At 46.8% G+C, this 10,992-nt stretch overlaps 2 protein-coding genes across 5 annotated transcripts in view; one reads left to right on the top strand and one right to left on the bottom strand.

Moving 5' to 3' along the window:
- AHCY (adenosylhomocysteinase) overlaps window positions 1-10,992 on the top strand; it is a 79,856-nt gene that overhangs the window by 40,897 nt on the left and 27,967 nt on the right. The window lies entirely within an intron of this gene.
- The window catches only part of ASIP (agouti signaling protein), an 82,852-nt gene continuing 73,455 nt past the window's right edge, over window positions 1,596-10,992 (bottom strand). For all 4 annotated transcript variants that reach the window (XM_011528821.1, NM_001385218.1, XM_011528820.2 and 1 more), the window contains 3 exons: window positions 10,406-10,575; window positions 8,047-8,108; window positions 1,596-1,949 (listed from right to left, as the gene is read on the bottom strand). In XM_011528821.1, the coding sequence (XP_011527123.1) occupies window positions 1,773-1,949; window positions 8,047-8,108; window positions 10,406-10,565 (399 nt within the window). In that variant the 5' untranslated portion in view covers window positions 10,566-10,575 and the 3' untranslated portion in view covers window positions 1,596-1,772. The remainder of the gene's footprint in view (window positions 1,950-8,046; window positions 8,109-10,405; window positions 10,576-10,992) is intronic.

Raw genomic sequence — 10,992 nt, 5'->3', positions numbered from 1 at the left:
ATGTCTGTAATCTCAGCACTTTGGGAGGTTGAGGCAGGAGGATTGCTTGAGGCCAGGAGTTTGAGACCAGCTTGAGCAACATAGCAAGACCCCATCTCTAAAGAAAAACCAAAACTGATAGTCTGAGGGAATAGACCACATATGCTAACAACGGTTCTAACCTCTAACAAGAGACAATGGCCATGGGTCACTGGCCCATAAGCTCTGTAAGGAGAGGATCCATATTGGACTTCTTCACCACTATGTCCACAGCACCTGGCACACACTAGGTGCTCAATACACATTTGCTGAATGAATGAATGAATGGGTTGGTCTTCCATGTGGTTGTCTGGACCCAGCAGCCAAGTGGCTTTGTTACTAATCGACTGAGTCTTTAGCTTTGCATCCTGGCCTCACCCCTGGGGGCCAAATGGTGCCTGCTTGGTGAACAGTGTCTGGAAAACACGAGGAGTGACTGCGGTATCTTCCCAATATGACATTTACTCAGCAGCAACTGTGGTACAAGGAACAAAAGGTTCTTGCCCTGTAGGACTGCAACCTAAATAACAGAAAACAAAACAAGCATCTGGCAGCTTTCCTGTGTGGGGGTGTGTGTGTTTGTTTCTTGTGTTAAGGAACAGAGAGGGAACAGGACACTACCTTGGATTTATAACAAGAACAGGAATGATTATTTCCTTTTTTTTTTTTTTAACCAGAGTTTCACTCTGTGGCCAAGCCTGGAGTGCAGTGGTGTGATCATAGCTCACTGCAGCCTCCAACTCCAGGGCTCAAGTGATTCTCCTGACTTAGCTGCCTGAGTAGCTGGGACTACCGGTGCATGCCACCACACCCGGCTAATTTTTAAAACTTTTTGTACAGACCGGTGGGGTGGCGGGGAGTCTCTCACTATGTAGCCCAGGCTGGTCTTGAACTTCTGGCCTCAAGTGATCGTCCAGCCTCGGATTTCTTTCTTTTTTCTTGTTTTTTTTTTTTTTTTTTTTTTTTTTTTTTTTTAAGACAGAGTTTCTCGCTCTTGTTGCCCAGGCTGGAGTGCAACGGCGTGATCTCAGCTCACTGCAACCTCCGCCTCCCGGGTTCAAGCGATTCTCCTGCCTCAGCCTCCCAAGTAGCTGAGATTTACCGCATGCGCCACCACACCCAAATAATTTTATATTTTTTGTAGAGACGGGGTTTCTCCATATTGGTCAGGATGGTCTCGATCTCCAGACCTCAGGAGATCCGCCCGCCTCGGCCTCCCAAAGTGCTGGGATTACAGGCGTGAGCCACCGCGCTTGGCCTCTTTCTTTCTTTCCGTTTTTTTTTTCCCCTGGGGAGAGGGGAGCACCTAGGAGGAAATGTGTGAGACTGAAAGGCTGTTCCTTTCTTCCTGGCTGGTCTGAATTTCCTGGTTTTGGAGGCAGCCTCGGGTGTTCCCAGGTTTAAAGGCAGGGGATAGCCTCGTTCCTAACCCCCAGGTCGGCAGCAGCGGTGACTGGGAGTGCAGCTGTGAGGCTGGGACGCCCGGGTTTCCTGAGCCCCGGGAGAGCAGCGCGGGACTCCGTGGCGAAGGGACCGAGAACTTTCGGGACCTTTACAGAAACAGCCGCACACCTTCGAGCAGCCTATATATATTGTATTTCGATTTTAGCCCAAGCCAGGTCTCCCTGAAGTCCCATCTCCTGGAACCTCCGCCCGCCTGCAGCCCTGGGAAGCCGCCCTGTTAGGGATCACCCGCCCGAGAAGCGCCCCGCGTCCCCGAAGCCCTGCCTGCTCGCGGCCGGGAGTGGGGGCGCTCAGCAGTTGAGGCTGAGCACGCGGCAGGAGCAGGCGCTGCGGAAGAAGCGGCACTGGCAGGAGGCGCACGGGTCGCAGCAGGCGGGTGCCGGCGGCTTGCAGCTGTTGCGGGTGGCCACGCAGGGCGCAGATAGGGGGGTCCGGGGCCGCACCACTTTCTTCATCGAAGCCTCCTTCTGCGTGGGAAACGCCGGGGCTTTATGAGCCGGCCACGCCCACCCCTCCGGTCCTCACCTCTGCCTGGGAGCTCCTCGGGCTAGGGAGATCCCGGACCAGAGGTTTCCCCGCTGGCTTGCCCACCGCCCACCGCCCGCTCCCCCAGTCAGATTCCCTCACCTCCATCCCCATCCAGACTTACCTGGCTCTTGCCTGGCCCTGGTCGTCTTCTCCCTAGTTTGTGTTTTTTTTGTTTGTTTGTTTTTTGTTTTTTTTTTAGACAGGGTTTCACTCTGTCAGCCAGGCTGGACTGCAGTGGCGCGATCTCGGCTCACTGCAATCTCGATCTCGGGCTCAGGCGATTCTGCCACTTCAACCTCCCAAGTAGCTGGGACCACATGTGCGCACCACCACGCTTGGCTAAATTTATTTTTATTTTATTTTCTATGTTTTTATAGACGGGGTCTCACTTATTGTCCAGGTTGGTCTCAAACTCTTGAGCTAAAGTGATCTGCCTGCCTCGGCCTCCCAAAGTGCTGGGTTTACATTACAGGCGTGAGCCACCGCGCCCGGCCTAAGTGGTTTCTCTTTGAACTTAAAATGAAACATGAACTTTCTTTTGGCCTTTGAGATTTGGCCCTTGCTTGCCTCTCCGACCCCTGTTAACTTCGCTGCCCCGCTGTGCACCGAACGCAGCAGGTGAGTTCCTGCTGCAGGAACCCAGCAGGAGCTGTCTTGGACACTGCTGCCACAGCTTGCTGCTTCTTTTCCTGGGAAGGAAATAGCCACTGGTTTTTGTACCTTCGATACAGGTAGCCACTGGTCATCTGTGGCTACTGAGTACGTGAAATGTGTCTAGTGCAACCTAGAAACTGAATTTTCAAATTTAATTTTAATTAATTTAAATTTAAAATGTAAAACTGAAGCAATATAAAAATATTCTTCCTCTTAAACACAACTTTTTAGTTAGAACTACATTTTATGCTTGTCAAAACTGAGCATTGGAATGAGATGTGCTGTAAACTATGCACCAGATTTCAAAGATTTAGCACAACAAAAATAAATTATTTCAATAACTTTTTAAATTAATCACATATTGAAATGTTAACATTTTGAATACACTAGGTTAAATAAAATATTACAATTAATTGCACCTTTTTTTTTTTTAAATATGGTTATCAACTGGGTGTGGTGGCTCATGCCTGTAATCCCAGCACTTTGGGAGGCCTAGGCAGGCGGATCACCTGAGGTCGGGAGTTTGGGACCAGCCCGACCGACATGGAGAAACCCGTCTCTACTAAAAATACAAAAATTAGCCCAGCATGGTGGCACATCTGTAATCCCAGCTACTCCCGGGAGGCTGAGGCAGGAGAATTGTTTGAACCGGGGAGGTGGAGGTTGCTGTGAGTGGAGATTGCGCCATTGCACTCCAGCCTGGGCAACAAGAGCAAAACTCTGTCTCAAAAAAAATAAATAAATAAAGTGGCCATAAGCAAATTTAAAATTATGTAGCTCACATCACAGTTCTTTTTTTTTTTTTTTTTTTTTTTTGAGAGCCAGTTTCACTCTTGTCGCCCTCCCAAAGTGCTGAGATTACAGATGTGAGCCACCGCGCCTGGCCTCACATTGTATTTCTATTGGACGCTGCTGCTCTAGGTTACTGAGTTTTTCACTCTATTTAAATGCTACTTCCTTACAGAGGCCTTCCCAGACCACTCTTCCCTTCAGTCTCATTACCGTGCTGTAATTTCTTTGCACTCTTTAACATCTGAATTTATTTACCTATTTATTGATTTACTTGCTGTTCACCTGTTTTCTCCACAAGAATGTAAACTCCATGAGACCAAGGATAAGATATATCTTTCTTATTCACTGCTATGTTCCCAGTGCTTAGCATATAAATATATTTGTCAGTTATATATTTTTATCTGTCAATAATCTCATCTTGCTTGTTCACTTTACAGCCAACAAAATAGGCCTAGAAAAGAGCAGGGACTTTCAAGATCACACAGTGCCAGATCCTACCTCCTAATACCTAATCCAGTGCTCCTTGCTTTGGTTACAGTTGATATGATAAACTGAGGCACACTAAGACAGGAATAAGGTGTGCATTTCAGCAATGCCTCAGTCCAGTATTTCCCAAAGTGGGAACCTGTGTTAATGGTGGTATGATTTTAGGTGGTACGTGAATGTTAAATGATCCTGAATTATACAATAAAAAAGGATTCTTTTTTCAATCTTTTTCAACTTGAAAGGGTCAGTTTGGTGCTAACGTGTCCTTAGTGCCTTTCTAACACTTTATAATCTGCCTTTTTTGTTTGTTTGTTTGTTTGTTTTTGAGATGGAGTCTTGCTGTGTCACCCAGGCTGGAGTGTAGTGGTGCCATCTCGGCTCACTGCAACCTTCATCTCCCGGGTTCCAGTGATTCTCCTGCCTCAGTCTCCCAGGTAGCTGGGATTACAGGCGTGCACCACCACGCCCAGCTAATTTTTGTATTTTTAGTAGAGACGGGGTTTCACCATGTTGGCTAGGCTGGTCTCTAACTCTTAACCTCAGGTGATCTGCCTGCCTCAGCCTCCTGAAGTGCTGGGATTACAGTTATGAGCCACCGTGCCTGGCCTAATCTGCCTTTTATTTTTTGTTTTATTTTATATTATTTTTGAGACGGAGTCTCGCTCTGTCACCCAGGCTGGAGTGTAGTGGCACGGTCTCGGCTCACTGTACTCTGCCTCCCGGGTTCACGCCATTCTCCTGCCTCAGCCTCCCAAGTAGCTGGGACTACAGGCGCCCGCCACCACCTCCGGCTAATTTTTGTATTTTTAGTAGAGACGGGGTTTCTCCGTGTTAGCCAGGATGGTCTTGATCTCCTGACCTTGTGGTCCACCCACCTCAGCCTCCCAAAGTGCTGGGATTATAGGCGTGAGCCACCGTGCCTGGCCATTATGCCTTTTAACACAGAGATTTAGGCCTCAAATTTAGAGCCTTTGGTAGGCAATACCATCCATTCACCCAGAATTTACTAACAATGTTTTAACTTCCCCCCCTCCGCTTTTGTTTTTTTTTGAGACAGTCTTGCTCTGTCGCCCAGGCTAGGGTGCAGTGGTGTGATCTTGGCTCACTGCAACCTCTGCCTTCCAGGTTCAAGTGATTCTCCTGCCTCAGTCTCCTGAGTAGCTGGGATTACAGGCGTGCAGCACCATACCCAGCTAATTTTTGTATTTTTAGTAGAGATGGGGTTTCACCATGTTGGTCAGACTGGTCTTAAATTCCTGACCTAAGGTGATCCACCCTCCTTGGCCTCCCAAAGTGCTGGGATTACAGGTGTGAGCCACTGTGCCCGGCCAACTTTACTTATTTTTATAGTTACCTTCTATTTATGGTAAGTGATACTAGTTTTCTATCATAATTATATACAGTTGACCCTTGAACAATGCAGGGGTTAGGGGCACAAACTCTTTACACACAGTCAAAAATCCTTTTTTTCTTTGAGACAGGGTCTTATTCTGTTGCCCAGGCTGGAGTGCAGTGGTATGATCACAAGTCACTGTAGCCTCGATATCCCAGGCTCAAGCGATTCTCCTACTTCAGCCTCCTGAGTATCTGGGACTACAGGAGCACACCACCACACCCAGTTAATTTTTTAAATTTTTTGTAGAGATGAGGTTTCATCATGTTGCTCAGGCTGGTCTTGAATTCCTGGACTCAAGTGATCTGCCAACCTCAACCTCCCAAAGTGCTGGGATTATAGGTGTGAGCCACCGTGCCTGGCCCTCATATTATTTTTGACTCCTCAAAAACTTAACTACTAATAGCCTACTGTTGGCCAGAAGGAAGCCTTACTGATAACATAAACTGTGGATTAACATCTTTTTATGTTATATGTATTATATACTGTACTCTTATAATCAAGTAAACTGGCTGGGCATGGTGGCTAATGCAGGTAATCCCAGCAGTTTAGGAGACAGAAGCAGCGGATTGCCTGAACTCAGGAGTTTGAGACCAGCCCGGGCAACACCGCAAAACCTCATCTCTACTGAAAATACAAAAATCTGCCAGGCATGGTGGTGCACACCCGTAGTCCTAGCTGCTTGTGGGGCTGAGGCAGGAGGATCACTTGAGCCTGGGAGGTTGAGGCTGCAATGAGCCGAGATGGTGCCACTGCACTCCAGCCTGAGTGACAGAGTGACACCCCATTTCTAAAAAAAAAAAAAAAAAAAAAAATGAAGTAAACTAGGGAAAATAAAATATTAAGAAAATTATTGGATAAGTAGAGATCGATTATAAGAAAATATAAGGAAGTGAAAATACATTTACAGTACTGTACTGTATTTATTGATACCGTAAGTTTACTTCATCTGTTTACAAGATGTATTGTCTGTCTGAAATAGTAAGCAACCAAAGCTTCAGACCTCAACCTATAGTATCAATCAAGTAATTCAAGCAACTTTTTCTTGTAATGTCATGACTCTTCTTTGCTTCTTGGGAACACTTCCAGAATCACTAGTAGCACCTAGTATGGGTCCCTTGGTACTACTCAAGGTTTACAATATTGCATTAAACACATTGAAAAATACACGAGAACCTTGAGGGATCACATTTTACTGCAATATGTGATTTCCTGGTGAGACTCCTTGTGCAGAGATGATTAGCTCACAGAGCGTTGTAAGCACGTACTCGCAACACCTGAGCATGCCGCAATGGCAACAGGAGGTATCTTCACAATTATGATGGTAGTACAGTATGTACTGCAGTTGTTTACACAGTTATGATTTAGTACTACATCTTTACATTTGGTTATTTTCTTTCTATTTTGAATGGTATGTACTGTCTGTGTGTACATATGTTTTGGGAAATTTTAATTTTTTATAATAGATTTATGTATATTGTATGATAGCAAGTGATAAAATAGACTAGTATCTACATATATTTTATGCATTAATGACATACTTTTTTTTCATTTTTTAAATATTTCTAGGTAACAAGATTCACCTGTTTTTTCTAATTGTCAATCTTCAAAAATATTTTCCAATTTAAAAAGTCAGCTGGGCAAGGTGGCTCACCCCTGTAATCCCAGCACTTTGGTAGGCTGAGGCAGGTGGATCACCTGAGGTCAGGAGTTCGAGACCAGCCTGACAAACTTGGCGAAACCCCATCTCTACTAAAAATACAAAAACATTAGCTGGGCATGGTGGCATGTGCCTGTAATTCCAGCTACTCGGGAGGCTGAGGCATGAGAATCGCTTGAACTCGCCAGGTGAAGGTTGCAGTGAGCCAAGATCACGCCACCGAACTCTGGCCTGGGCAACGAGAGCGAAAACTCCATCTCAAAAAAAAAGAAAAAAAAAAAAAGACATAAAATAACCAATGTATAAGTGGACCCATGAGTTCAAACACATGTGTTCAAGAGTCAACTGCATTTTTTAAGTTTTAATTTTTTGTTGTTGTTGTTTTGAGACAGAGTTTCACTCTTGTCACCAGGCTGGAGTGCAATGGCTCAAGCTCACTGCAACCTCCACCTCCCGGGTACAAGCAATTCTCCTGCCTCAGCCTCCCAAGTAGCTGGGATTACAGGCGCCCACCACCACGCCTGGCTAATTTTTGTATTTTTAGTAGAGACGGGGTTTCACCATGTTGGCCAGGCTAGTCTCGAACTCCTGACCTCAGGTGATTCACCCACCTTGGCCTCCCAAAGTGCTGGGATTATAGGCGTGAGCCACCGCATCCGGCCTAAGATTTAATTTTAAACAAATATGTTAAATAAATAGGTGGAACTCAGATATGGCAAAGTTATAAATGTGGTTCTGAAATGACTGAGGTTTGGGAAACACCACATTCATCCAAAAGTATGAGTGATGGTGAAATTTCAGGCAGGGGCTAACTAGTAGAGGAAGCTGCTTTTCGTAACCTATTTTGCTCAGTGGACTTCAGCTCCCTGGGCTTCTGTGGGTGTCTGGCTCAGAGCTCAAGCCAGGAAGTCTTTAGTAGCTTTCAGTTTCTTTTGTTAATATAGGCCTGAAAAATCTTTCATTTAGTTCCTAGCCAGAGGTTGGGGGTCCTCCTTCTTTAAGTCCAGTCTCACCCCAACAATGAGAACTCCCAGAACTTCCCTGCCCTTACCTTAGAAGATCTTTTCTTTTCTGCTGCTTTTCTGCCGATCTGTTTGGATTTCTTGTTCAGCGCTTCAAAGAGAGACAAAAGGAGCAAAGTCAGATGTTTCTGGGGACGTTGAGCTGCAGTGAAGTGAGAGGGGCAGAGGGGGCTTGGGAAGTCACAAGGTCAGGGAGAGGAGAAGAAGCGTGCTGGATGAGTCACACTGTAGGACTCAAGCCAGTAGGTTCTTGTTAGCCCGGCTACTGACCTGGAGCCAGGCACTGATAGCAACGTGTCCTCTGAGGGAAGGCAAATGGGAAATCCAAGCAGGCACTGGGATCTGCCTGTGACACTCTTGTGGGGCCTGGTCCCTCGACCTAAGTGAGCTTGGGCCACTCAGAGCCACCCCAGGTGCCCCTTCCTTCATCTCCATTGTGGCAGGCACAGGAACATTGTGATACCCAGAAAATGGACTCCTGTCTTGTACACAGATGCACCTGTGTTTCCTATTTTCCATTCCTGAGAGCTCTGGAGCCAGGAGGACCTGATTTGAATCCTGACTCTGCCAATATAATGACTATGTGGCTGTGGGTAACTTACTTATCCTCCATGAGACTCAGTTTTTTCATCTGCAAAAAAGGTTCCATAATATCTGCCTTGCAGTATTGTCTTGAGGATAAATGAAGTCTGTTTATAAAGTGAAAAGTCTGTTACACTGAAGATCAATAAATGTTGATGTTCCTCCCTTCCCTGTCTGATATGTGTAGAATATCCTCTTTCTTTCTTCTTCTTCTTTTTTTTTTCTTTTGAGACAGAGTCTCACTCTGTTGCCCAGGCTGGAGTACAGTGGTGCGATCTCGGCTCACTGTGACTTCTGCCTCCTGGGTTCAAGTGATTTTCCTGTCTCAGCCTCCCAAGTAGCTGGGATTACAGGCATGTACCACCACACCTGGCTAATTTTTGTATTTTTAGTAGAGATGGGGTTTTGCCATGTTGGCCAGGCTGGTCTCAAACTCTTGACCTCAGGTGATCTGCCCACCTTGGCCTCCCAAAGCGCTGGGATTAGAGGTGTGAGCCACCGCGCCTGGCCGATTATTTATTTATTAAAAAATTTCTTTTTTGAGTCAGGGTCTGTCTGTCACCCAGGCTGGAGTGCAATGGTGTGATCATAGCTCACTGCAGCGTCGACCTCCTGGGCTCAAGCAATCCTCCTGCCTCAGCCTCCCAAATAGCTGGAACCATAGGCATGCACCACCATTCCCGGCTAGTTTTTGTTTGTTTGTTTTTGAGACAGGATCTCACTCTGTCACTCAGGCTGGAGTGCAGTGGCACAATCATGGCTCATTGTAGGCTCAAACTCCTGGGCTCAAGTGATCCTCCTGCCTCAGCCTCCCAAGTAGCTAGGACTACAGGCGCATGCTACCATGCCTGGTTAATTTTTGTATTTTTAATAGGGACGGGGTTTCACCCTGTTGACCAGGCTGGTCTTGAACACCTGAGCTCAAGAGATCTGCCCGCCTCAGCCTACGAAAGTGCTGGGATTACAGGTGCATGCCACGTGCCTTGCTAGTTTTTAAATTTTTCTGTAGAGACGGGGTCTCCCTATGTCGCTCAGTCTGGTCTTGAACTCCTAGGCTCAAACAATCCTCATGCCTCCAGCTTCCCAAAGTGCTGGGATTACAGGTGTGAGCCACCTCACCCAGCCTCAAATATCCTCGTTTCCTAGCAAAAGCCGAGGTAGTAAGAGATATTAGTTTTGAGCTTAGGTTCTGGAGTTAAGTACCTGATTTTGAATTCTGGCTTTGCCAGTTAAAAACTGTGTGATCCGTGCTAGTTACTTAATTCTCCTAAGCCTCAAGTTCCTCAACTGTGAAATATGAATAAAGACCATACTCACCTCACAGTGCCTACCACACAGTATGTCTATGATTATTATCAGGTGAAGTCAAACCAGATCTCCAATGCCAGGCTCCAGTGCCCCTCATATTTTCCCCTGAGCCTTCATTCCCAACCCTGACATGACAGGACTGGTCCATCCCAGACTTGCATATGTTCTGGAGCATTTCCTGAAGTTTGTTACTGTTGACAGGAGTTCTGTGATTCATTAAGTTTCAGAAATGCTAAATTAAACAAAGTTCACCAAGTGTCTTAACTTCAGGCCTTTCAGAGCCTCTACCATATGCTAAGCTGCTTATTAGACTGGTGGCATGCAGAGCTTTCCCAAACCAAATGAGTCAAGGGCCACCTTATTCTCCCAGGATTATTTCCTGGAACGAGCAAGAAGGAGCCGTGACCATGGCGGTGGATCCTGGTAGCACCCTGGGAAGCATGCTTGATCTCCTGCAGCCCCTCTCCTGGGCCAGAGCCCAGAGGCTAGGTGACTTACCCACAATAGAGACAGAAGGGACATCCAGTAGGTTCACAGAGGAGTTGCTTCTCAGGCTCCTGTCATCTCGGAGCTTCTCCTCAGGTGGCAGGTGGCTGTTGGCAGTGAAGAAGCAGAGGAAGACCAGCAGGGTGGCCAGGAGTAAGCGGGTGACATCCATCCCAGGAGGCCTGAGTGGGACAGAGAAGGTGGTCAGGTGGGTGGGTCAGGGGTAATGGTAAGAGGCCTTCCTGCTTTCTTTGTGCTTCTTTGGGCTGGTGTTGTGACCCTGTTAGGCAAGTGTCCTGGTGGAGCTGGAGGATTAGCAAGGCTTAGGATGGGGAAGGGGAATTGATGAGGGAAGAAGAGAGAAGAGAGATGGGAAGAGGAAGAGAGAAAGACAAGGAACAGAAGGAGATTGGAGCAAAGAGAAAAAGCAATGCATTGCACTGGTCTCTGCTGTCCAGAGGGTGGTGTGTTGGCTGCTTCTGTGTGTTTTTTTAATGTCTGTGGCCCCAGGAGACCCCAGGCCTGGGCAGAGTTGTTGAAAGGCCCCCAGTAGGGCCTCACAGTAGCAGAGATTTTATTAAGATGTACAGAATAAGGCT

This window comes from Homo sapiens, chromosome 20 (assembly GCF_000001405.40).
Source record: "Homo sapiens chromosome 20, GRCh38.p14 Primary Assembly".
NCBI lineage: Eukaryota > Metazoa > Chordata > Mammalia > Primates > Hominidae > Homo > Homo sapiens.
Note: the sequence above shows the minus strand (reverse complement) of the source record. Positions and strands in the feature narration are given on the sequence as shown.